Raw genomic sequence first — 27,910 nt, forward strand, 5'->3', positions numbered from 1 at the left:
ACTTTCTGAAATGAATGGGGACACGTTCTATTGTTATTCGAATTGTGGGAAATTCGACAGTTATTCGAGTTGTGGAAAAGCAGGCTCCAGAACGTCTTGGAGATATGACTTAGCAATCTGCAGGTGTCCACGGTGAGTCCTCCCCAGTAGGAGGAGACAGGAGTCTCTCTGGAAGGCGAACGCCACAGCTGCCCAGATGTTCTCCTGCAGGGGAACCAGACACCATCATGACCCAAAAGGGCTGCACTTCTCGGGGTTTGCAGAATGTGGCAGAGGTGGAAAAACTCGAAAGTCCCTAAACACAGGTAAGCAGACAGCGCAGTGGTGGTGGTGTCTCCCACACTTTGAGTCTGTGTTTGCATGTGTGTGCACACGTGTCTATATGTGCATTTGTATCTGCTTCTTCCATGTGTGCATGCCTCTGTGCATGTGTGTGTGTGTGCATGTACTTCTGTCTCTGTGCATGTGTGTGTGCATGTGTGTGTCTGTGTGAATGTTTGTGTATCTGTGCATGTGCATGGTTGTGGTATACATGCATGCGTATATATGCATGTGTGCACATGTGTGCTTGTGTGTGTCTCTGTGTGTGCATGCATATGTGTGCATGTGTGTGTGTGAATGTGTTTGTGTATCTGTGCATGTGCGTGTTTGTGGTATACATGCATACGTATATACGCATGTGTGCATACGTGTGCTTGTGTGTGTCTCTCTGTGCACGCATGTGTGTGCATGCGTGTGTCTCTCTGTGTGCATGCATGTGTGTGCATGTGCAGATTCATGTTTCTGTGTCTGTGCCATGCACGTCTGTACATATGCACATGTGCATGGGTGCATTCATATGCACACGTGTCTTGTGTACATGCATGTGTGCCTGTGTGTGAGTGTGCGCCTGTTGAGTCAGGTCTGTGAGTCCCCCTGAGGGCCAGGAGGCCGTGGGCAGGGCTGGTCCTGGAGAGCACTTCTTTTCCACGCACTTTGGCTTCCCCCGCTGAGCGCACCCCCCGCACTTGGCTGGCTGCTTTCACCCCAGCCCCGTTCCTCCTGTGCCCAAGAACCTCCTCCTCGTCTCCTCCTCAGCCACGCAGCTGGTGCAGCACAGCAGACCTGCACTGAAATGCATCGGGGAGAAAAAGGGAGGTGAAGTCAAACATCCCATCTGCTCCTGTCCACGTCCTCAGGTTCACTGCCAAGTTCTGACACTGCCGACTCCCCACACTGAAGGCAAATGGCCTCCCCGAATGCAAAACTCATTCCTTGCTTGCCAGCACCCAGAGATTCTTTCTGAAGATGTTTATCTTTTCTCATTCACTCTTCAAAATCCTCCATGTAGAGAAAATGCCTTAGAATTTCCTGAATAAGGAAACAACAGGCAGCATCCTCATCTACATCCCCTCGGGATTGCTGAATGGAATGCAGAGAGGAGAGGAGAGTGGAAAATAGCCCCTGGGTTTTAGGAAATATTAAGCAGTTTTTCAAGAGCCAAGAGCCCTGCAGGAGGCAGAAAAGGATATGATTTTGCAGTTTTGAATACGCTTTTCTCTGGGAGTAGCACTTTTCTACCAGAGGCTGACATTGGAGGGACCACCTGACATCAGATTAGACATTCACAAAAAGGCGCTGCAGGCAAGTGCTTCATAAAAAGACCTTCACCAAAGATGCACCTGACCCCCGGGCTCAGGGAGGCTCTTGTTAAATGGAGGATATTATGCCTGCTCTATTTACTGTGGGGCCTGCTTGGGGCTAATCAGAGGTTGCTTCAAATCTGTGCAGGTAGATGTATTCATGCAATAATACCTCATCTCCACTATATTGTTGTTTTAGCAAAAGATACTTTCATTCATGTTTTCATCTTTTTATTGTGGACAATTTTAAACATGCAGAAATGGAGGGAGAAGGGTATGGAGAACACCCATTTACCATCAGCCAGATGTCACAATTACCGATAACTTCCTGCATTTGCTTCTTCTCTAGATTTTTTGGAATTAATTCGAAGTACATTGCAATCACGATGGCCTTTTACTTCTAAATTCTACACTCTGCACCTCTAAAATATACAAGCATGTCCCAGGACCACCCTCAACTACTTCAGGTCCCTCGGAAAAGGGTAAGGTCAGCCAGGCTGGACACCACGCTGTGGGTGGCCTTAGGTCCTGCAAGCAACTGTGGCCACCAGCGTCGCAGCAGCAAGGTGAGCCTGAGCAGGAGCACACTGTCCCTACCTGTCTCTGTTTCTTCCTGCCCCTTGGGGTGTGGGCACCTTGCCAGCTGGGAAGCTGTAGTCTGTAACAGTGATCATCGTGCTCTTCGCTGCCGTCATTTCCAACATCGTCCGAGAATTTATGAAGTGCCGAGAATCCCTCTTACGGCTTCTCCTATATTCAACTACTGAATCCACATAAACCTGTTTTACAGATGGGCTTATAGAAGTGCAGCGATGCAAATCCAGACCGTTTAGCTTCCAAGTTCATACCCACCATCATCTTCTGCTCAACTGCAGAAGCATCAGGGTGAAGCCGGCCGTGCTGGGCTGGTGGGGCAGGTGGCAGTGGCTACCATGCAGGTCCGTGTGGGACTCCCCAGGGGACTTCATGCTGCATGATTCCCACCTCATGTGTGGACCTTGGTACCAAACTTGTGCTTAGGATTCAATTCCACATGTGAGTTATTCCACGATTCCAGTTCTGTACGTGTTTTCCATGTACGTTCACTAAAAACAGACCGAGAAACTTTATATCCAACTGATGACTCTGCCTAAGACTGTAGCAGGATTGATAAGGAATCAGAGACCGATGGGGTTGAGGAGGATATTTATTATTTAGGTACACCGGCCCAGTAGGACTAACATTCCAATGACTGAGCCCTGAACAAAGAGTTAAGTTACCTTTTAAGCATTTCATGGGGTGGGGTGTTGTGGGGGGGAGATCTGTGCAGGGGGAAGCATATTACAGAAGCGAGAAACAAAGACAGTTATTCAACTGAGACATGTATTACATCATTTCTTACTTTTCAAGGAAAAACATGTTTTGCGACTTGAGTTTATCTGTCTGGTGACCTTGCAGCTGCACAGCTAGGGAAACAGGGTCTTCACAATGCCTGGGAAGGGAGGAGAGATAAGGCTCACTAGCCACAGAAAAACAGGCAGTTAATTTTTAAAGGACTCCAGCTCTTTCTCTTTCTCAAGGGGAATTGGGTTTTCTTTTTTTTTTTTTTTTTTTTTTTTTTTTTTTTTTTTTTGAGACGGAGTCTCGCTCTGTCACCCAGGCTGGAGTGCAGTGGCGCAGTCTCGGCTCACTGCAAGCTCCGCCTCCCGGGTTCACTCCATTCTCCTGCCTCAGCCTCTCCGAGTAGCTGGGACTACAGGCGCCCGCCACCACGCCCGGCTAATTTTTTTTTTTTTTTATTTTTTTTAGTAGAGACGGGGTTTCACCGTGGTCTCGATTTCCTGACCTCGTGATCCACCCGCCTCGGCCTCCCAAAGTGCTGGGATTACAAGCGTGAGCCACCGCGCCCGGCCTGGGTTTTCTTACATACAACTGAGTTTCTGCTTACACATTCTTTAATTTCTTTTAATTCCTGTTTTAAGACCAGAAAGAAGATGTGGAATGTGGAGGGAGCTGGGTCGATAGAACATGGAGTTTTGATTGACTTTTATTACCAGGAACTTCACAGTGAGAATTCCTCAGAGAGCATGGTATGGTAATGCTGTTCATACTCAGGTGCATACGTTCACATGCCCACATTCAGATGCCCATGCTGGACAGGTGCCCATCCCAGGCAGGTGTTCACACTCAGGGGCTCACTCTCAGGGGCTCACCCCAGGAAGGTGTCATACACAGGAGCTCACTCTCAGGGGCTCACCCCGGGCAGGTGTTCACACACAGAGGTTCACTCTCAGGGGCTCACCCAGGAAAGTGTTCACAGGGGCTCACTCTCAGAGGCTCACCCCAGGAAGGTGTTCACATTCAGGGGCTCACTCTCAGGGGATCACCCCGGGAATGTGTTCACACACAGGGGCTCACTCTCAGGGACTCAGCCCAGGCATGTGTTCACAGGGGCTCACTCTCAGGGGCTCACCCCAAGCAGGTGTTCACACACAGGGCCTCACTCTCAGGGGCTCAGCCCAGGCATGTGTTCACACTCAGGGGCTCACCAAGGCCCACCTGGGGAGCACAGGGGCTCAATCCCACACTTTACACCAGCAGTTCCTTGCAGACCTCAACAGCTCTGCTCAGCAGTGTGGGAGAAAGAGGAACATTTAGAGAACAGAACCGTGGGCGATATTATTTGACATGTCCCTCCTCTTCCTCTTCCTCCTGTCACAACATCAGGATTTCCCTGAAGAAAGTGACCTGCACTTTGACCCAGCCCGTCACATCACCAGTGAGCATGTGACCTATTACTGGCCAATCAGAGTCATACACAGCCCAGCCTCATCATGGTGATTGGATAAGAGGTGGGCACATGACCAAATCAAGCCAATCATAGTCCCAAACATCCTCATCACAGTGATTGGATAACATGTAACCACATGACCAGATCAAGCCAATCAGAGTTACACACACTCTCATCACAGTGATTGGATAAGGGATGGGCACACAACCAAATCAAGCCAATCAGAGATGCACTTCCTCCTCCTCGCTGGGACTGGATATTAAGGGCAGTAGATACTGATTTTCATTTTGGAAAATGATGCAAATTTTCCTTTTTAAAATTGAATTATGTAAAATAAGGTAGTTGATGGAAAGGAAAAAATTAAGTAACAGGTGATAAGCTAATACCTCAAACATGGAGCTCTGTGAAAAGCCAGCCTTGAAGCCCTGAGTTAATCCAGCCACTAGAGCCTCCCTGAATCCTGGCTGAGCCACTGGCCCTGGAGGGTGCAGGGGACGTCGTCCACCAGGTCTCCCTGCAGCTCCGCAGCAGGCTGCGGGTACCAGCCATTCTAAATGCAAAGCACATGCCCGCCCGATGAATTATGAATGGTGTTTACAATTCCTCCAACACAACCGGGCCATCAGTCATTTATAGCTGCACCAATGGCTCTGCCACTCTGAGGTCGCTGGAAGAGAAGGACTGACCAAGCCTGATGGGTTGGAGGAGAAGCCAGCGGAGGTGCCGGGATGGCCTGGCCGGGCCTGCTGGAACCAGAGGCAGGCCGATTCCAGGACCAGTGTTCTTTCCTTGGAAAACACGGAGTGAGCTTCCTGACGTCGCTGACCACTTCCATGAGAATGGAAGAAGGAGGATGCACCCCGGAGGGGCAGAATTTCTTGTCCTGGAATGCCGGCAGTCAGCCCCTCACTCCCGTCTTCCCGCAGAGGAGGCTCTTTGCCTTCTCAGGCTCTTCAGGAAACAGATTCCACTCGTCACCGATAAACCAGCTCCAGGTTTCGTTGTCCTTGCTGCCAGGCTGCCCGGCTGTGTCTGGCCTTACCTGATGGTCTGGCACCACAAGTGGGTGCTGCGCTGTATGCTCACCAGTTGCTGCTCCTCCTTCCTTGGTACGTGGTGAAGCCACATTGCCCAGCCTGCCTGGCAAGGAGATGTGGTCACATGGCTGCGTTCTCATCAATAGATGGGATGGGGACCGTTTCTGGCCGAAGGAAGCATGATTACCGCCTTTATGATGTCTTGTCCATTCTCCTGGAAGGACACAGACATCAATGAGATGGTGATTCACATCATGGAAGGGGTTTGAGTCTCAGAAATACACCATGGAAGAGAGTTACCTGTCTCATAACCACTTGGACTGCCATAAAGGCAAGACATAAGCTTCTATTGGATTTGAGTCATCATGTATTGTATGAATGTGTGCAGTTATTTAGAGAGAAACTTGCTTACTGACACAGACACCATGTGTTGAGTATCTAATATGTGCAGAACATTGTGCTAAATGCTTTGCATATACAGCGTTGCCTAAGCCTCACAACAACCTGCAGGCCTGGAGACCATTATTTTCCCACTTTAGAGATGAAGAGATTTAGATTTAGAGAAGTTAAGCTTGCCCTGGGTCACACACCTACTAATGAATAGAATTGGGACTCCACAGCTCAGGTTCTCAGTGCCAGCTAGAGTGTCCTCAAAGCAACATGATGAAGGAGTATTAGCCATGAAGATATTCTTTCTCCCTGCTCCATCCAGCAGGGAAGGGGCCTCCCTGGAGCTCCACAGCAATAGGCCCCAAGAAGGTGGGCAGACAGGAAGGGAGGCCACGTGTGCCATTGCACTTCAAGCTCAGCCTGGGTTGGGGCCTGCATGCCAGTCAGGAACCTCTTTCTGCAAATGGCAGAAACCCAGTTCCCAGTGGCCCACACAGAAAAGGCCACATACCTGTTGTTCATCTACCCCAACGTTCCAAGCAAGGCTGGATCAAGGTGTTTCTTGATGAACTCAGGAGTCTCCTTCTCCATCTCTGTCTCTGTTTTCCCTGAAGAGGAAACAAGGCAAAAGAAACTTGAGGCTCATGTTCTGAAAGCTAGATAGTGAAGTGCCCTCTCCTCTGTAGCAATCACTGAAGACCATCATCTACACCTGCAGCAGCATCGTCACCTTGCAGCAGCAACTCAGGGTCACTGACTTGCCCCTGCCACCTGCAGCAACCACTCGGGCTGACTCACCTGCCCCTGCCACCTGCTGCAACCACTCGGGGTGACTCACTTGTAAATGCTGCTGCATAAGCAATAAGGGTGCACCCAGGGAGGGAGCAGCTGGAAGGGAAATGCAGAGAGAAGTTCTGGGGGTTCCAGGTGGGACGAGTGATCAGCTGACAGCCCTCCAACCACGATGTGCAGTCCCCCATACCACGACCCCTGTCCCCATCCTGCCTCTGCTGAGGAGTCTGAGAGCTTAGTCCTTGGGGTCACCCTGTTCATCCCTGCATATGTGCAGATCTGCTCTCACGCTCCTGAAGTGCTGGAATTCGTGCAAGTTCAGAATCTCAATTATTTCTGACCTCAACCCTGTAAGCCTCATGTAAGTCTTCTTCCTTTGTCTGAACTCACACTAGCCACTGAAGGGAGAGATCTGGTGACTTCATTCAACATTTGGTTATTAAGCACCCCCCTGTACCAGGCTCTGTCCCAGGCGCTGGGGACACAGCCCCAGGAGAGCCATGGCTCTGCTCTCCTGGAACTTATGTTCCGGTCCAGTGAAGAGACATACAAGTATGTGAGAAAATGAATACGATAATCCTCAGTTGTCAAAAGGGCCGTCGATGAAACAGAATGGACCATGTAACAATGTGGCTGGGGAGAGGCCATTATGAGCTGGGGCAGCCAGGAAAGATCTCTTAGAGGGTATGATATTGGCACCAACAAGGAGCCAACAGCATGCAAACCTGGGCAGGTGCATACCAGGCAGCGGCATCACCAGGGAAAGGTCATGCAGCAGAAACCAGTGTGGCCCTGTGAAGAGCAGAAAGGAGGCTGAGGGCAAGGAGAGGAGGCCAGAGCTGCAGCAGGTCAGCAGGGGTCAGGCCCCGTGTGCCTTACAGGCAGGGGAAAGGGTCTAGCTTTTGCTAAGTGCCCTGGCCACTGGTAATATGGGGAGGCAAGACAGTGTGCAACATGCTCTGCCCCCCGAGGGGCCTCCCAGGCTGCACTGCAGAGAGAGGTGGGAATGGAAAGAAATGAGTTTTCAGGCTACTGCACTGGTCCAAGCAGGAAATAAGTGTTGCTCAGACTACAGCGGTGGCAGTGGAGATGGAGGGAGGACATTTTTTCCAGATCTATCTTGGAGCTGGAGATGACAAGATTTGCAAATGGATTGGCTCTGGGGAGAGACCGAGAGAGAGAGAGAGAGAGAGAGAGAGAGAGAGAGAGAGAGAGAGAGAGAAATAAAAATAAAAAAGAATTGGTCTTCTGATCTTGTCTGAAGAGGAGGAAACAGGTTTCAGGGAGATGCAGGTAGGCTGATGAAGAAGCACTGGTATTGGCTTTCATGCACGTTTGGAAGCCTTGGGAAGGCCTACATATTCTCTGGAAATAAATTGCTCATGATTCCAGTTAATCATCCACAAAATAATGCAAGGTTTACAATAAATTGTATTTCCCAGCTACTGAGAAACAAAGCTGGTAGGAATGAACGGAGCCCACACTGACGCGCGGCCGAAACACACGTTCCATCGTTCTGAGCTGAAGGGGGGCAGCCTGGACAGAGCACATCATGGGGAGAGGCCGCTGTTCCCTGCTGTGCCAGGCCGGGGTGACTGGCGGTTGATAAACAGCCCCACTCCTTACAAAGAGCCCTGGAGCGGGAGCTGGCACTGCCGACGTGCCATTTATCTTAAGGCTTTCATGGAGGGAAAATATGTTTTAAAAGCTGCCTGGAAAAGGACAATTATTAATGAAACTCTTCTATCAGTGTCTTCACTCGTTTGCTGGGAAGGGAGATGCTGACATACAAGAGTGAGGCCAGGCAGGCTTTGGAAGGGGTCGAGAAGGTGGCCAGGAGCGCAGTGTCCTCCCTTGGTTGTCACTGGTCTGCAGGCCACGGACGCCCTCTCTGAGGACAGCTTTTGGAGTAAAGGCCGCTATGAGCTTCATTCGCCTGATGTCTGGGGAAGCCCGGGGCTGGCTTTGCAGGAGCCCCCTCTCATGACACCGAGGGGCCTTCTCTGCAGCTCTCTGCTGCACGTCCATCACAGAGCAGCGGCATTCCCATCTCTGGTGCAGATGGCTCCACTTGCAGGCCCAGGCAACAGCATGGACCTCAGGACTGCATGGGGCAGCTTCTTCTGGGAGGCCCAAACGTCAGCAGTGGACACACAGCTCTCCAGACCAAGTCACTCCTGGGTGAGAGGCCCGACGCTGTGAGGGTGATGTCCTCACTCAGGCTGGTGGCAGCATGGACAGCTGCTCCGCATGGAGGGACGCAGGCCCAGCTTGTCCCTGAAATCCAAACCCAGCAGGCCCAGGGCTGCCATCAGAGACGCTGATTCTAAGGTGGAGGGAGATTTCCAGGAAGCAGGAGGTCCATCTGGGGAAAGAAGCGAATGCCACCCAGGATGGTGGAGGAGCACAGAGCAGAGTGAGCTGCAGGCATGGGGGGAGCTGGCCCAGACAGGCACAGGGCAGAAAACTCAGGAAGGGGAAACAGTCAGCACTGCTGATCCCAGCGAAAGTCTTGAAAACTGATGTGGTCAATTTATGGAGAATTGGGGTTGAATTAATGATAACGAAGCAATTCTTTCAAGCTACAGATTTGAGGGAAAAATGAAATATCCAGATGAGGAAAGTGCCCGTGGTCTCTGTCTCGGCTCCATGGTGAACGGGGCTCAGGTGAGCTTGGTGATATCAGCAGCCAGTCTCGATCTGAGGGAATCCCAGTGGCAGGGGTGGACGGGGGTGCCTGTGGGTGGAGCAGGCCAAGGAGAAGCAGGTCCCGACCTTCCCTATCGAAGGTGGTGCCTCGCATGGAAGCATCAGGAAGTGGAAACACAGGCGTCTCATTTGGAGATGGGAAGACACACAACACGAGAAACGACTAAAAGAATCAAAGGTGATCTCTGGGGAGGGACAGTGGAGGAAAGAGGGAGAATATCATTTTCATATCTATGGAACTCATTAAATTGGGTGCAAATACCATTTCTTTTTGAAAAGTAGAAACAAAATTATTAAAAGAACCAGTCAGTGAGAACTGTGGCGACCAGCCCACGTGACTGGAGGAAGAGCAGATTATAATTCATTCGCTCCCTTTCACCCCTCCTCTCCACCACAGTCTCTCTGGGCCGGGGCCGAAATTCCCAGGTTACAGCTGTGGAATGTGTCTGCTTCCTCCTGCACTGCTCCTGTACATATAATTTAAATTGCCCCGATGAGGTCTACTGCTTCAGAGTGACATCCAATCATTCCAGACTCTTTGAGCATCTGGAAGCCTATAACAGCTGGAAAATCTAATCTTGAAGCACTAAATGAGATAAAGCTTGGGTGAGACAAACACCATAGGCCACCTCTTCACCTCCATTATTCATGAAACTATCTCATTATAACTGTGGGTTGCCATGGTGACAGGCAGTGGAGAGACAATTCTAAAAAGTTTGGAGAAGATATTTTATAACTAAGAGCTTTTGGTTGCAAGCGACTGAAACCTGGTTCTTGATGGCTTAAACCGAAAGTTGTTTTGTTGTCTTTGTTTGCCAGCATTGCGGGGAAGGCCTCGGGAGTGCTGACAGCCAGCACCAGGGCCCAGCCGTGTCATCAAGACCTCAGTCTCTGCCCTGGGGGCTCTGCCTTCTGCTCTGCTGCAGTCATTGCTGGGCTCCACGGGCATCCCCTGAAAGCCCCAGGACCAAATTACCCTTAATATTAGCAGGCCGAGACTCTAAACAAATAACGGCCAACCACTGAAAGCAATACCACCAAGGCAAAATACCGTCAAGAGGGGCTGGATAAGTCTGTGGGGCACAAGGGAGGCAACCAAGAAGGACATCTAAATGAAGACCTCAAGAATAAATATGAACTGCACCAAAAATGGGCACAGGAGAGCACTCCAGGTCAAGGGAATTATAGACACATAAGATACAGGTCTGGGATGATCCTGAACCATTTGAATAACTGATTCCAGGTCCTTAGTAGGAAATGTTCAAGATGTACCTGGGTGATATGGTTTGACCCTGTTTCCCCTCCCAAATCTCATGTTGAATTGTTAATCCCCAGTGTTGGAGGTGGGGCCTGGTGGGAGGTTATTGGATCATGGGGGTGGTTTCTAAAGGTTTAGCACCTTCTCCCTAGTGCTGTCTTGTGATAACGTTCTCATGAGATCTGGTTGTTTGAAAAGGGTGTAGCACTTCCCCCTTTGCTCTCTGTCTCTCCTGCTGGCCATGTGAAAACCGTGCCTGCTTCCCATTCGCCTTCTGCCATGAGTGTAAGTTTCCTATGGCCTCCCTAGAAGCAGAAGCCTGTATAGCCTGCAGAACCATGAGCCAATTAAACCTCTTTTCTTTATAAATTACTGAGCCTCAGGTATGTCTTTATAGCAGTGTAATAATGGACTAGTACACTGGGTCATCTCAGTGTCTCACAGATCAAAGATGATGCCATGGGCTCATGAAGTGGTGTCACCCAGACACAGGAGCTAGCCTGACGCTCTCGCTGAACAGGGATGTGTTAATACAACATCAACAAGAATAATGACTGCAATGGATTAGAAGATTCAGGGTACATCAAAAGCCATGAAACAGTCAGAAATGAACATGTGGCCATTATTACCTACCTTGCAGAAATAAAAGGATTATAAGACAATACTATGAGCAATTGTATGCCAATAAATTCAGAAGCTTAGATGAAACAAATTCCTAGTAAAACACAAACTACAATAACTGACGCAAGAAGAAATGGAACATTTGAATAGACTTATAACAAGGAAAAAGACTGAATTCTAATCAGAACCTCCCACCAAAGAAGACTAGAGGACAAGGTGGCTTCACTGGTAAACAGCACAAACATTTAAACAAACAGCCAAAATTATCAAACTCTTCAAAAAAAAAATAGAGTGGAAGAAATACTTCCTAACTCATTTTATGATTCCAGCATTATCCTGATTCCAAAGGCAGACATCACAAGAAAAAATTACAGATTAGTATCCCTTATGAATATTAAATCCTCAACTAGAAAATGTAATACAGCAGCATGGTAAAATAATTATACAACATAACCAACCAAGTGGGATTTATCCCAGGAACACAAGGATGGTTAAACATACAACAATTATTTAATGTAATACACAAAATTAGTAGAATTAAAGAAAAGATTATAATAGTCTCAATTAATGTAGAAAAAGCATTTGACAAAACTCAACAGCCTCTTATGATTTAAAAAGCAAAACAAAAGCCAACCAAACAAAAAACCAACTCAACAAACTAGAAATGGAAGGCAACTTCTTCAACATGGTAAAAAGCATTTAGGAAAAGCATATTGCTAATGTTGTACTTAGTGTTGAAGGATTGAAACCTTCCCAGCTAAATTCAAGAACAAAACATGCCCACTTTTGCCACCTCCATTCAACATTGTGCTGAAATTTCTAATCATAACAATTAATCAAGAAAACAAAATAAGAGACGTACAAATTGGAAATGAAGATGTAAAACTATATACACATATGACTTGATCTTGTACATAGAAAATCCTAAAGAATTCACACACAAAAAACTACTAAACATGATAGAATTTAATAAAGTTGCAAGGTACAAAATCAACACACAAAAATCCATTGTATTCTTACACACTAGTAACGAACAATCCTAAAACAAAATTAAGAAAACAATTCCATTTACAATGGCACCAAAAATAATAAAATATCTAGGAATAAGTTTGAGGAGGTGTAAGATTTGCACACCTAAAACAAAATATTAATGAGAGAAATTAAAGAAGACCTAAATAAATGGAAACACACCCTGTGTTAATTTCTTGGAAGATTTAATATTGTTTAGACTTCAAAACTTCCCAAAGGGATCTACAGATTCAGAGCTATTTCTGAATCACAATCTCAGTGGATTTTTTTCTTTTTTTCTCCTTTTTCCTTTTTTTTTTTTTTTTTTGGAGAAATGGCAAATCAGATATTAGAATTCATGTGAATTGCAAGTTATGGCAAGTAGCTAAAATAATCTTAAAACTAACCAGGTTGGAGGACTCACTTTTTTTTTCATTTCAAAACATATTACAGTGCTGCAGTCATCAAAACAGTGTGGTTCTGGCATAAGGATAGACAGATAGACCAATGGAATAGAGAGTCCAGAAATAGTCCTGTGCATCCACAGTCAAATGTCTGACAAGGGTGCAAAGAGGATTCAACAGGGTGAGAATAATCTCTTCAACAAATGTTGCTGGGAAAACAGGATATTCACATGCAAAGAATGAGATTAGACCTATCCCACTCCATATACAAAAATTAACACAAAGTGGATCAAAGACCTAAATGTAAGAACTAAAGTATAAAACTCTTAGAAGAAAGGTGTAAGTATTCATGACTTTGGATTTGGCAATGGACTTTTAGCTTTGACACCAATAGCATAAGCAACAAAAGAAAAAAATAGATAAAGTTGACTTTAGCAAAATTAAACTTTTGTGTATCAAAGAACACTGTCAAGAAAATGAAAAGACAACATATAGAACAAGAGAAAATATTTCCAATTTATATAACTGCTAAGGACCTAGAATTCAAAATGTACAAAGAACTGATACAACTTAATGATAAAAAGACAACCCAATTAAAATAAAATTTAAGAACAGGCAAACGACTTGGATATTTCTCCAAAGAAGATATATAGATGGCTGCCAAGCACATGAAAAGATGATTATAACATTTGGGGTCATTAGGGAAATGCAAATCAAAACTTCAATGAGGAAGCACATCACACCCCATAGGATGGTAACATAGCAGTAATAATAATAGCGACAAAGGTAAGAAGTGGGTCAGGATGTGGGGGAAGCGGAACTCTCACACATCGCCGTATGTAAAAGGTGAATGTAAAATGGCCCTGTGAAAAATGATTCAGCACTTCCTTAAAAAGTTAAACGTAGAATTACCATCTGAGCCAGGAATTCTACCCCTAAGTCTATAACCAAAAGAACTGAAATTAAGAATTCAAACAGATACTTGTAGATGAATGTTCCTAACAGCACTATTCACAAGAGCCAGAAGTTGGAAACAGCACAAATGGCCAATTAATGAATAAATAAAATATGGTCTGTCCATGCAACGGAACATTTTTCAGCTTTAACAAGGAATGAAGCACTCACACATATGACAGCATGGATGAGCCTTCAGAATATCCCTAAGTGAAAGAAGCCGGGAACAAAAGATCATATATTGCACGATTTCATTTATGTTAAAAAGATCCAGAATAGTTAAATCCAGAGACGGCAGATAAGTGGCTGTCATGGGCTGTGGAGGACGGAGGACAAAAGGGATGAAAATGTTCTGGAGGTGACTGTCACACAACAGTGTGAATGTACTGAATGGCACTGGATTGTACACGTTAAAAGGATTTTTATGTTATGTGAGACTCACTTCAATTAAAAACAAGCTATGAGTAAAAGAATGTGTATAGGGGGTGGTACAGAAAAGATATATACCACAAAACTTATTGCACACTTCTGGAGGTTGCTAGGATGCCAATCCATTATGCTGAAAATTGATAAATAAAGAGGAAAACTAAGCATTTATCCTGCCTTCCTGGTATTAATTGTATTTCATGATAAATCATAGCCTTAGTGGATGAGGGATGGCTTTTCTCAACAGAAGCACTCAAGCAAATAATTTCAGAAGGAGGAAGAGAGTTAGAAGTTCCAACACCTTATCAAAAATTGACTAGGTTAATGTCATCAATCGATGGTAACACTCTTCAGTGGAAGATCGATAGAGAAACTTACATTGAATGGATCATTGTTGCCATCTGAATTCGCTGATCAGTCTCAGCATCATTAAAAGTGAAGTTTAATCATTATGTGTCTCCTGATAGGCTGCAGTACAAAGAATACAGCTTCAGCTACCAAGTATCCATGCACAGAGAAAACCTGGATCTCATCAGCCCTGGCATTTAATTCCAAGCCTGCAGCAATGTGTGAGCAGGGGAACAAGTTAAACAGCCCCGGAAGCCACTGGGCAGATCCTAACGTGACCATCTAATGGGACACTTGACTTGCTTTCCTCAAAAAGCCAGCATGAGGTAGGAGATCTGTGAAATGGAGCGGGAGGTGGAGGCAGAAGAGACAACTCTAGATTTAAAGAGACTTAACAGATAGAGTTTTCTGACATGACATATAGACTTTGCTTGGATCTGGATTAAAATAAATCAGCTACTAAAATTCAGTTTTCTCGCTAATCAAGATGTTATCGGAAAGGGGTCCTGATCCAGACCCCAAGAGAGGGTTCTTGGACCTCACACAAGAAAGAATTCCAGGCAAGTTCATAGAGTAAAATGAAAGCAAGTTTATGAGAGAAGTAAAGAAACAAAAGAATGGCTACTCCATAGACCGAGCAGCACCAAGGGCTGCTAGTTGGCTACTTTTGTGGTTATTTCTTGATTATATGCTAAACAAGGGATGGATTATTCATGAGTTTTTTGGGAAAGGGATGGGGATTTCCCAGAACTGAGGGTTTCTCCCCCTTTTAGACCATATAGGGTAGCGTTGCATTTGTAAACTGCCATGATGCTGGTAGGAATGACTTTTAGCACCTGCTGTATTATAATTAGCATTTAACGAGCAGTGAGGACCACCAGAGGTCACTTTCATTGCCGTCTTGGATTTGGTGAATTTGGGCTGGCTTCTTTACCACATCCTGTTTTATCAGCAGGGCCTTTTTGACCTGTATCTTGTGATACCAGCTCTGTCCACCTCCTGTCTCATCCTGTGACTAAGAGTGCCTAGCTTCCTGGAAATGCGGCCCAGAGGGTCTTGGCCTCATTTTACTCAGTCCTTGTTCAAGATGGAGTCACTCTGGTTCAAACGTCTCTGGCAAAGGGAATTTGAGTATAGACTAAGTGTTTGTCTTAGTCAGTTCAGGCTGCTGTAACAAAATGCCTTAGACAGCGTGGCTTATAAACAACAGACATTTATTTCTCACAGTCTGGTGAGTCCAAAATCAAGCCTCCTGCAGATTCAGCATCTGGCAAGGCCCACTTCTTGGTTCATAGATGGCGGTCTTCTTGTTGCATCCTCACATGGTGCAAGGGGCGAGGCAGCTCTCTGGAGCCCGTTTATAAGGGCACTAATCCATTCATGAGGGCTCCATCCTCAGGACCTAATCACCTCCCGAAGGCCTCCCCTCCTAATCCATTATGTTGGTGATTAGGTTTCGTCATATGCATTTTGTGGGGACACAAACCCTGAGCCCACTGCAATGTTTGATTAAATGAAGGAGTTGTTTGTTTTGCAAAGCGTGAGTGTAGAACGGTAGTCATGCAAGAAGAGATTCCTTATTCGGATGCGTATTGAAGGATTTAGGAATGTGAGGACATGGGGTGTGCAATTTGCTTTAAAGCACTCAACCGTGCTGCAAGCCTCTCTTTCACTTCACGTACATCTCTCTCAGTGCTCTCTATCCAGTCCTGTGCCTGGAGGCTGACCCTAATATCCAGTAGTAAAGGGACTCTGTGTCCTCTGGAGACCTTTGGCTCAACCAGAGGCGAGAGGCTGTGCTCAGAGCACCTGCTCCTCTACCCCCGCTCGCTGGGCTGCAGTTCTTGTCTGGCAGCCCCTCATGCAGAGCCAGCTGCTGCCCCACTGGGTGAGTAACCACCCTCCCTGCCCATGCAGATGCAGTGGTCTTAGCTGCACCGCTGAGACCCTGCTAAGATCCCAGCCCTGAAGTGCGGCACTGGCCCTGCAGACTTCCTCCACCCGCCCACGCCTGTGGGAGCCATCCCTGCATCCACCTCTCCCCTGTCCCATTTAGAGTCACTTGTTACCTGTGGGACTGTGACTCTGGGGGAGGTAACATGTTTGTGGTTGTTGATGTCGGGCGACGGGTATGTGAGAGTTTTATGTATCCTCTACCTTTGTGTATGTTTTTGAAATTTTTCATAAGCAGAAAACAAACATAAATATACACAAACACTCTATTTTTCCATTATTAACATTATAAATTTATGTTTAAAGGTACACATGAGATGTTTTAGAAGGATACACACCATATTCCGACTGTAGCTACCTCCAGACGATGGGACTAGGAGGTAGCAGAGCAGGAGGGGGCAGAGCGGAGTGAGCTGGGAGGTGTCCTCAAGCTGGGAGGTGTCCGTGAGCTGGGAGGTGTCCTCAAGCTGGGAGGTGTCCTCAAGCTGGGAGGTGTCCGTGAGCTGGGAGGTGTCCTCGCGCTGGGAGGTGTCCTCGAGCTGGGAGGTGTCCTCAAGCTGGGAGGTGTCTGTGAGCTGGGAGGTGTCCGTGAGCTGGGGGGTGTCCTTGAGCTGGGAGGTGTCCTCGAGCTGGGAGGTGTCTGTGAGCTGGGAGGTGTCCTCAAGCTGGGAGGTGTCCGTGAGCTGGGGGTGTCCTTGAGCTGGCATGTGAACTCTCCTCCCCTCCTCCTCATAACCTCTCCCTCCTCATGATCTCAGTGCTTCCACTTATTTAAAATCACTCATTTAAATGAGTGAACCTCCACTCGTGTAAAATCACAGCTCAATATCACTCCCTCGGGGACGCTTAAACAGGGAGTGCCGTGGGCAGCCCTCCTGCACAGGCCACCGCTGCTCACACACTTCATCTTCACAACATTTATCTCAGTGGTCATTTACATTAATCTCTGTGAAAATTTGAGAATTCTCAGGGGGAGATTCTCCACTGTTCTCCGCAGGAATTTCTGTTCCCAGGGCTAGTTTTATACTGATCCATGTGATAATTTGTGGATGCCTCCTAGCTATGAGCTCTAAGGAAGCAGAATTTTTCATTATATTCCCAGCTTTGATCACAGTGTCCGGCAAATGGCAGGTCTTCAAACACGTGGGCTTTGTCAAATTCTTTGAAATTTCTACTAGAATGTATTCATTTTTCTGCCACTTAAAATAATTTTAAGTTATTGTTTTAATTTGTTGTAAATTTTGTTTGACTTTGAGGAAAATGTAGAAAAATAATCTAAAATCTTGAAGATAAGAAAGAACTTAAATGTCCATAGACAATAAGCAAAGGATAGGTTATGGAATTGCACAGATTTTAAAGTCTCTGAATGCAGAGTGTGTCATCATGACTTTGTAAGGCAAGTGAACTGGAGGAAAGCATTTGAAGACAACATGACAAACAACAAGTTTGTATCCTTAATATGTAAAGAGCATATTCAAATCAATATGAAAAAAGATATCTGTATACAAAGGATTGGCATGAATAAAAAGTTCAAGAAAGAAGACACACAAAAACAATGGAGCCGCAATGGAAGCAACATCACTAATTATCCAAGACATGCAAACGAAACGAAAATACTTCAAGTTCATCGGGTGAGAAAAGACTGAAACTCACTGCAATAGCTGATGCCAATGAGGGTCTGGGGGATGGATTCTCAGGACCCTCTGGGGGCTGGTAAGTGTCCCCTGTTCGAAGCTTCTGGGGGCAGTTTGGTGAAATGTGCCGAAAGGCTTTCACATTTGGAGATGTTTGCTCCACGAAGAAATGCCTACAAGGACAGGCTCACAGGACCTGTGACTAGAGCCAAGCTCCCGAAGCATGTAGGGCTTAGCTGCTCCCACTAAGATCACCAGCCCTGAGTCACTCCCTCTGTGCCCTTCCCCTACCCTCGCATCCCTGTGGGAGCTGTCCCTGCCTCCACCTCTCCCCCACTCCCCGATCAGGGACTTATTGTTTTTTGGTTTATGCTGGAGGAGCAGTGACAACAGACCAGGGCCAGGGGTGGAGACCCACACAGTAGGTCCACAGTCACTGCGAAAATGTGCACGCCACAATGTTGAGTAATTTTAAAAAAGGACCTTTTGTATATTAGGACCCATTTTGTTTCAAAATACATGTATGACATCACTATGCAGAAAATGTTAAAGCTGTAAAAACATGAACAGAATGCCTGAAGCGTGGGCCGTGGAGGGGCACGCTGACCTGCACACGCCTCCCACTTCATGGAAATGCCTTCGCGCTGCTTACTTTCTTGCTTTTCTTTCACAGGAGGCTTGTGTCACTTTTACAACCAGCGAAGTCACGTGTAGGTTCCGTGTCCAGGAAGAGAACCCCACCGCCTCCTTCTGGATGGCAGGTGTCCCTCTCGGCTGAGCAGGTGTCTGGGACCATGACATCCAACCTGGGCTCTCCTGGCCCCCAGAGAAGAGCTGCCCAGTGCATGTGCTGGCTGCACCGTGACGTCCCCTATGAACGAGGCCCACAGGCAGTGGCTGGCTGGGGGGATGCCCCTGCCCTGAGCTGGAGTCTCCCCAGGTGGCTGCTTCTTCCCCACCCCGAGGGTCACAGCCCAGCCCAAGCTCCAAGGGAATGGAGCAGCTGCCTGCACCAAGCTTCCCTCCTCTGGAGAAAGCACCTCCTCTTCTCCCTCACGTGCTCCCTGATGACCGCCAGGCTCCTTGACATGGTTCCCAGGACCAGCCTCTCCCAGGGTCCCTACTCCCAGTACCCCAGTCCTCACCATTTGTGACCCTTCAGCCCCTGCTGAACCCTGCCAGCCCCAGGACAGGCCACAGCTGTCATGCCACCTCCCAGCCATGATGAATGGGGAACGGGGAACTGTCTGACCTTGGGCTGGGTTCAAAAGCAGGGTCAGCCCAGGCACAGAGCCTGTTTGTTTGAGTGAATTGAGTGGGAGGCTGCTTTCTCATCGGGCTGAGGAGGGTTCAGAGGATTGTGGTCTCTTTGTTTTCATTCAAGGCTCCATCAGCCGGGGCCCTGGCAGGAACCAGAGTTCACTCAACCGTTCACAGAAGGGTGCCTTGCAGAGGCGCAGGCAGGGTGAGCAAGGATGGCGTGGAACTCGAGGGGGGGTGCCACAGTGGATGTTGTCGCCACCTGTGGCCTGAGGAGCAGGGCAGGAGCCATGCTGCTGGGTCCCAGGGAGGCCATGCGGGGCACTCCACAGAAGCTGGGTCTGGAGACTGGGGGTCCCCGTGAGGCCATATGGGGCACTCTACAGAAGCTGGGCCTGGAGACTGGGGGTCCCCGTGAGGCCATGCGGGGCACTCTACAGAAGCTGGGTCTGGAGACTGGGGGTCCCCGTGAGGCCATATGGGGCACTCTACAGAAGCTGGGTCTGGAGACTGGGGGTCCCCGTGAGGCCATGCGGGGCACTCTACAGAAGCTGGGCCTGGAGACTGGGGGTCCCCGTGAGGCCATGCGGGGCACTCCACAGAAGCTGGGCCTGGAGACTGGGGGTCCCCGTGAGGCCATGCGGGGCACTCCACAGAAGCTGGGCCTGGAGACTGGGGGTCCCCGTGAGGCCATGCGGGGCACTCCACAGAAGCTGGGTCTGGAGACTGGGGGTCCCCGTGAGGCCATGCGGGGCACTCCACAGAAGCTGGGCCTGGAGACTGGGGGTCCCCGTGAGGCCATGCGGGGCACTCTACAGAAGCTGGGTCTGGAGACTGGGGGTCCCCGTGAGGCCATGCGGGGCACTCCACAGAAGCTGGGTCTGGAGATGAGGGTCCCCGTGAGGCCATGCGGGGCACTCCACAGAAGCTGGGCCTGGAGACTGGGGGTCCCAGCTCTTGCCAGCAGCACAGCCCCATGCAGGGAGGGCACGAGGAATAAATGCCGCGACCTCAGCCTGTCTCTCCAGCCTGCTCTGTGCCCCAGGGGAGACTCCATTAGTGGAGCCCAACTCAAAATAGGGAGGGAAGGGAGCCTGGATGGACAGAGGGCCCCAGTCATCTTAGGGCGGGTGGAGTGGGGTCGGGGGAGCCGGATGGGGCCTGCAGGGCAGCGGGTCCCACCCAGGCCCACCTGCAGACATCAGGGGCCTCATCTGGGAATGCGGGGCCAGGATGCTCTTGAACAAATGGAAGTTTTGGCAACTCTGGACTTTGGGGTAATAGGCTGGGACCATAGAGATGTGACCCACAGCTCCTGTCCATGCTGGCTCTCATGGCCACTGGTCTCCCTCACTTGGTCTCCGGCCTGCCCTCTGCTTCCGAGTCCGCCACTCCCCACCCAGCCTCTGTCATTTGCACGCTGTTGATGAACTGTACAGCGCGGAGGTGGAAAATGATAATCTCTCCCTCCTCAAACAGCTCTGGTCCCACTAAGCCCAGTAATAAGGAGGAAATGCAAAATGAATCTGCCGCAGAAAACCAATAAGCGCCGAGGCTCAGAGCCTTTGGCAGGGAAGAGCACAAAAATGCCAAATACAATTTTTTTCTATTAACATTATATCCGCAGGCTCTTGTCAAGGAAATATCTGATCGGATCCCAAAACGAGCAATTATGAGAGCTCACTGTCTGAGCGAGACGCCTCTGGCAGAGGAATTTAATTTTGGAAAGTGTCCTATCTCAAACCATGGGTCTGGCCTGCTTTCTGGGGGAGGAGGCCAGACCACCAGGGAGAGACTGGTCTGGGGGATGCGTCCCTGTGGCAGAGGTGACTCCCGGTCAGGCAGAGGATCCAGAGAGCACTGGAGGCTGAGTCCTCAAGGTCCCCAAGCATGAGGCCTTTGAGGTTGGGGCTGGGGGTGAGGCTGGAGAGTCACAGAGCAGCAAAAGCCTGGGGTCCTGTGTGCAGCATGGACAGCAAGACACAGCCACTGACTGGACACAGAGGGGACAGGCCCTGGAGTGACAGCATGGCCTGTCGGGCACACAGGGCCTGGGCTGCCACCAGCAAGTGTGCAAAGAAGGAAAAGGTGCCCTCTCAGGACTGTTGAAATGGGAAGGTGCCCACCCCTTCTAGGGGAGGACCTGGAAGAGGCCCCTTCCTGAACTCAGCCAGGGTCAGAGCAGGCACTCTGGGAGCTGGTAGTGGCTAGACCAGACCCTCACCACAGCCAGGAGCCCTGGGGCGCAACTGATGGCAGCTGGACCCACCCTCACTCCTGGTGCGTGTCCTGAGGGCATGCCTGCCTGCAGGGTCCCTCACTAAGGCCCTGGCCCAGGTGGTGACAGATGGGAACAGAGGAAGGGGCATGGAGGAGGCTCTGGACTCGGAACACCCACCTGGCTGCTCAGGGGGCAGGGAGGCCAGCGGCCACCACACAGGGTGGACCTGGACATTTGCTCTGGGGAGTGGACTCACTGCTGAGGGTCTTCTGGCCAGGAAAGATGCCTGCAGGTCCCACGGCAGGGCAGGAAGGATCTGGGGGCTCAGTGGAGCCAGCGTGAGAAGCAGGGAGGTGTCCATGAGCTGACAGCCCCCTCCTCAATCCAGGATCTCCAGGTGAGCAGCAGGCCACTGTTCTTGTCCTCCCCATGGATGGCCCAGATCGTGGGAAGGGTCAGGCTCCCCCAGACCCCAGAGGCAGCCCTGCCAGGCTCCAGAGTCCCAGCACCGTGAGTGCCATCCGGTGACCCCAGGTCCTCCGCAGACACTTGCTCTCCATTCATGGTCTCCTCCTCTCCTCACCTGATCCCCTTCAGGACTCCTTCCTTCAGCCTGGAATCCACCTCACCGGATCCCCAGCTCCTGCCCTCCGAGCACTGTCCTGGGAGTGTCCTGGCCTCTCTCCAGCGGGGCCAGGCCTGGAGCTGAGCTCTTCTTTCCGGGGCACTAACCTTGGAGGGCCTGGACAGAATGAGTCGGGGCAGCACCTGCAGGATTTCTGTTCTAACAACATGCCCCAGGCAGTTCTCCTAGGCCTGATTTCAGCAGAATTGGACCCTCTGCCCGGGAACCTATGTGGAAGCTGAAAACTTGGCTGGGAGGGGAAGTGGATGTTCAGCCCCATGCTCCCATCTTGGCCAAATGTTGGAGCAGATCCATTCGCAGGCTCCAAATGTGCACATACATAAGGGTTTGGGGAACTTTTGCAACGCTGCCTACACAACTCACGGGGACGTCAGCACGTGCGTTGTTTGTTTGAATGGAACCGGCTGTCTTTGGGGCTCTGGAGTCACTTGCAGAATGCACAGTGCCCTCTCTCTACTCCCTGCCTCCCTTTGACCATTGATTTGTCCAGTGGATGCCAGCATCAAACCAGCAGGACAACAAAATGCCGGCATCCGTGACAAGGACCTGGGTTGTTGGCCATGGAAACCTAATCAATGTGGAGCTGCTCATGGAACAATCCTCCACCTCCGGCATGTCAGGCAGAGCAGGGCAGGGGCAATGGGCAGGGCTTCTTGGGATGAGGCAGGGAAGAGCCAGCGGGGAGCCTCCCTTGGCTCAGGGGTCTCCTTTGTGGTAAGCAGTGAGAACCAGGGCCCTTCAGAGGGGAAGCAGACCGTCGGTGTCCAATGTGACCCCAGGAGGGTGTGGCCCACCCCAAAAAAACAGTGTTGGGGGGTCTTCTTACCTCAAGCGATGCCCCGTCGTGTCCCTAGCCAACCTGGGTTTCCAGGAATAGATGTGGGAGGAGGGACCCCCACGAAGGAGGTGACTTTCCTGAACAAAGCAACCTCCCAAGACTCTTAGAATCTGATAACCCTTCACTCTTACTCCTCAGGGGAGAAGAGTCTCTTCCGGCCAGGCCATGGCAACCATGGGTTTGATGAGCTGTTGAATTTCCTACTGGAAATCAGCAGCCCAGAGCCCTGCTTCTATGGCAGGGTCAGGCAGGGTCAGTCAGTGCTCGCGGCATGGACTCGGGAGCGAGAGGGCCAGTGTCCTGGTTTACAGAGCGTGGGGTGCAGGGAGCTGATTATTCACTCTGTGTCTCCATTTCGTTTTTTGCAGAATGAGCTTTGGTGTGGATTTAACCTGAACAGGGCAGGCACAGAGTGTATGCTCTGTGTGAATTGACCTTCTGTATTTTCATCCTTCAGACGTGGAACCAATAGAATCTCCTTTATAAATGTATCGATCATTTCTGCCCAGAATCTCTTCCTGTTCTTAATCACTTGGCCTGAGGCTCCACTCCTGACCCCATAACTGTACAGGGTTCCCTCAGGCAGCAGGCTCCTTAAAGAAAAAACTTTACTCTTTTTTTTAATAGAGTAAGTGAGTCACATCCTTTTCAGAAGTAGCATCCTAACGTTAGTACATAAGATGAAGTCACAAATAGCAGAATGACCAAAGGCAACACCTTCGTAAGCCCTTGAAATACAGTGACGGACACAACACCCCTCCCTGGACCCATGGGTGTTGCTTCCTGCAGCCAGGGACCAGGTTCCTGTGTCTCCATCAGAGCCCCAGGCCAGGGAGTGAGTCTGCATTTACCGGCTGTGTTGCATGAAAAGCGTGGGCCTCTCTATGGCACGAACATGCACCTCGGCTCCCTGGAGGAATGAAGGGAGGCCCTAAGTGTCAGGCAGTGACCGCTAACCAGGGACCACAGCTTCACTGTCAGGGTCTACTGGAGCCGTGGCCTCACCAGGGTCCTAGGCTGCTCATCCCCGTGGCATGAAGGCCAACCAAGTTGGTGGAGAAAGAAAATAAATCACCGCCTGCACAGTGAAAATTCTGTTGGACGTTGAGACGGCTGTGGCGACCGTTCTCCTCTGCATCTTACCTGTGAGCAGCAGTCCTGTGGAGCGCAGCAGCGCCAGTGTGTTCTCAGGAACCTTCTGTCCGAACGGAACAGTTAGTGTTGCAGGCGTGGTCTAGTCGAGAGACAGAATTGACTCAAGACATTTCACAGGGAGGAAATGTAATGCAGAGAATGGGTGGAAGAACACAGAAGCCAAACCCAGGGGCGTGGAGCAGTCCAGAATTTAGCAACAGCAGGAATCCAGCACACTGCTCTTTGTCTTGGGTTAGAGGGAGAAAGACGGAGGCAAAGCTGGGACTTCAGTAACAGCAGACGCTCCCAGACAAGCCAGACACACCGGAGGGAGCGAGACAGAAAAGCACCAGGCTGTGGCCTCCCCACATCTCCCGCCTGCCATGTCCTGCTGAGGCCTCCCATTGGCCAGGGATGCTGTGGGTGGGCCTGTTCAGGTTCTTGACATCTGTGCACGAAATAATTTGGGAGCAAGTCCAAAGTAAGAGTGGGCAAAGAAGTTTATTGCAAAGCGAAAGTGTGCACCACTAGCTGGGTCAGAGCGGGCTGCTCTGGAATAAGACAGTGAGACTGGCACTGGGAAGTTCCTTTGATGGGAGTCTCACATGATTATTCCTGAAGGAGCAGGAACTAAGCATGTTGTGGGTGGGTTCCTGGGCCTACAGAGGCCGTCACTGTACATGCTGGCACATACATTGCCTGTCTCATTAGCATTTTAAATCTCTGCCCAGGCATGTGTTTTTCACTATTACAGTGAGCAAAGTTCAACATAAGGACATGGTTCTTGGCTCGGCCTTTGGGACTTTTCCTCCAACAGTCACTCCTCCTTCAGCAAGGAAGTTGCCCACTGCGGGTGACCACAGATGTCTGTCCCAGCCACTTTCTGGAGCGTCCGTTACTGACCGGGGCCCCTGTGCTAACCTGTTGGCCCCATTTGGCTTGCTCTTAGCCGCCTGCAGGTAATCTTGCCTGTTGCCTCGGTAACTGCCTGCTTAAGAACTGCCCAGAAATGGGGGACAAGGAGGCCAGGGAGTACAGCACCCTTGGGAAGCAAAGAGCAAAGCAAGGTCAGCGAGTGGGTCCAAGGGCAAAAGCAAGTGGCCCGCATGTCTGTGCATCTTTGAGGTTCCTGGAAGGTAAGTTTAAATGTTTGCTGTTTTTAATATATTGTGGGGCTTGGGGGCCAATTTTTTTTATCGTGGTAAAATACACATAACATAAAATTGACTATCTTAACCATTTTTAAGTGTACAGTTTGATGATACTAAGTACATTGCTTTTACTGTGCAACCATCACCACCATCCAGCCCTCCATCCATCCATCCCTCCATCCATCAATCCATTCCTCCCTCCATCCATCCCTCCATCAATCCATCCCTCCATCAATCCATCCCTCCATCGATCCATCCATCCATCAATCCCTCCATCAATCCATCCCTCCATCAATCCATCCCTCCATCAATCCATCCATCCATCTGTCCATCCCTCCATCCATCTGTCCATCCCTCCATCAATCCATCCATCCCTCCATCCATCCTTCCATCCATCCCTCCATCCACCCATCCCTCCCTCCATCCATCCATCCCTTTGTCCATCCTTCCATCCATCCCTCCATCCGTTCATCCATCCCTCCATCAATCCATCCATCCATCCCTTTATCCATCCTTCCATCCTTCCATCCCTCCATCCACCCATCAATCCCTCCCTCCATCCACCCATCAATCCCTCCCTCCATCCTGTGAGTGGGATCCCACTGCACCTGCATCACCTCCCCCAGGTGCATCACACTGTGGCATGTGTTAGAAATTCCTCCCTTCTTAAGTGACTGATAATGGGGGTGGGGTGGGCTCACCTCTGTCCTTCTGGAATGTGTTTTCTACGTCCTTTATCATTTTTCTGGTCCCTCCTTTACTGCATTGTCTTCTTTTGTGTTTAGTCGATTTTCTGTAGTGAAATGTTTAAATTCCTCTCTCATTTCCTTTTGTGTTTACTCTGCAGCTATTCTCTTTGTGGCTGATATAATAAAGTTGCTACACTCTGACATGAATTTATCCTGGTTAAATGTCAATAACACAAAAACTTCCACTCCTTCACATCTCCATTCCCACTTCCTTCAGTTGTTGATGTCACAGAATTATATCTTTATATGTCATGTGTCCAAAAACAGAAACAAATAATTTTTAAATGTATCTGTCTCTTTAACTATGTAGAAAATAAAATGTGGAAACCCAAAACAAAGTTATAATACTACTGACAACTTTTATACAGTACCTGTTTACTATTCAATTGGGTTGTCTATTTCTTACTGACTTACAGACTTTACAAATATATTCTGGATATGAGTCCTTTGCCAGTTACGTGTGCCTAAATAGTTTCTCCTCCTAGGTGGTTTATATCTCTACTTTCAAATTTTTTTTGAGACAGGGTTTCACTGTCACTCAGACTGGGGTGCAGCGGCAAGATCATAGCTCACTGCAGCCTTGATCTCCTGAGCTCAAGCCATCCTCCCACCTCAGCCTCCGGAGTAGTTGAGACTACAGGCACACATCACCACATCTGGCTAACTTTTAAATTTTCGTTTTCGTAGAGACAGGGTGTGTCTATGTTGCCCCGGGTGGTCTCCAACTCCTGGGCTCAAGCGATCCTCCCACCTCAGCCTCCCAAAGTGTAAAACATTTTTTTAACTTAATCCCAACTGTGATAATATAAAACATGTTTTTTATTTTAATTCCTAATTTTAATTAAGTGCAATCAAGACATTTTAACCCTTAAATTTGTTTCCTATTAAACGTCCATCTCTGCCACGAGGCCAAGAGTTATTCCCCTGTTATCTTCTAAAAGTTGTTTCACAGTTGGACTATGGTCTAGCTGGAAGTGATTTGGGGGAGGATAAGGAACATTGGAAGATCCATTTATTTGCGTATGGATATCCAATTGGCGTGGCATTATGGGAAAGACTCCTGCCACCCTGCAGGGTCACCTTTGTCATAGATGAAGTCTTGGTGCACACGTGTGATGATTCCTAGGCCCTCTGGGTGACCAGTACTTCGGTTGTCTTTCTGACATTGTTGCTTCATCACCAGTGTAACGTCTGAGGGCACAGTCCTGCACCTCGGTGGCTGCTGTTCTGCTCATCTTGGATGTCCTCTTTTCTTACGTGTTTACACACACGTTAGAATCAACACATTTATTTTTGCAAAAACAATCTTCCAGGATTTTGAATAGGCTTGCCTTGAACGCATAGAGACATTTGAGGAGAATGTCATCTGGACAAGATCCTTTCAAGCTAAGGATGGTTTGGGAGGGTATATGTATCTGTTGTGGTGGTGGTAGCCCATTAAATACTGCTTATAAACAACCTCTTTCAAAGGCAATTTGGCAATGTCTATTAAAATAGCGAGTGCACTACTCTGTTAGCCAACAATTCTACTTCTAGAAATTTATCCTAGCGTTACACTCACTCAGATTCACAAAGACAAACTATTTTAATTGGATCTTAATAGTATCTTTGTTTGACAAGATGAGGAATAATCTAAATGCTGTGTATAAGGAACTTGGTAAATAAACTATGGTGCATCCATATCACAGAATACTGTGGCAATGTTAAGAAGAATGAGGTTGGTCCATATTCCCTATGTACAATTGTGGACCCATATATTGTTAAGTGAAGAAAAAAGGAGAATGAGACAGAAAGAAAGAGGGAGAAAGAGAAATAGAAGGAAGGGAGGGAGGGAGGGAGAGAGGGAGAGAAGAGACAGGGAGGAAGGAAAGAACAGGAAAGAGAGGGATGGAGGGAAGATGGGGAAACACAGGCCCAGTGCCTTCCAGAAAGGAGCTGCCTCTGTGTGCGTGTGGATGCGTGTGCATGTGTGTATAGGTGCGTGT

General features: G+C 48.8%; 1 long non-coding RNA gene across 1 annotated transcript, besides 1 other annotated feature; it reads left to right on the top strand.

Annotated features, from left to right (window-relative positions):
* Positions 1-113: 113 nt before the first annotated feature.
* On the top strand, positions 114-20,199 carry LINC02370 (long intergenic non-protein coding RNA 2370). The gene is made up of 5 exons (NR_103736.1): positions 114-305; positions 1,972-2,188; positions 18,600-19,659; positions 19,768-19,983; positions 20,091-20,199. It is a non-coding gene; the product is annotated as a long intergenic non-protein coding RNA 2370 (long non-coding RNA).
* Positions 1,004-1,548: an enhancer, noted in NCBI's record as "H3K4me1 hESC enhancer chr12:131832905-131833449 (GRCh37/hg19 assembly coordinates)". NCBI's record gives its function as "activates a minimal SCP1, AML or CMV promoter by ChIP-STARR-seq in primed H9 embryonic stem cells {active_cell/tissue: H9 hESC(primed)}" and the evidence as "EXISTENCE:reporter gene assay evidence [ECO:0000049][PMID:30033119]".
* Positions 20,200-27,910: the final 7,711 nt, after the last annotated feature.

The sequence above is a fragment of the Homo sapiens genome, chromosome 12, assembly GCF_000001405.40.
Source record: "Homo sapiens chromosome 12, GRCh38.p14 Primary Assembly".
Classification (NCBI taxonomy): Eukaryota; Metazoa; Chordata; class Mammalia; order Primates; family Hominidae; genus Homo; species Homo sapiens.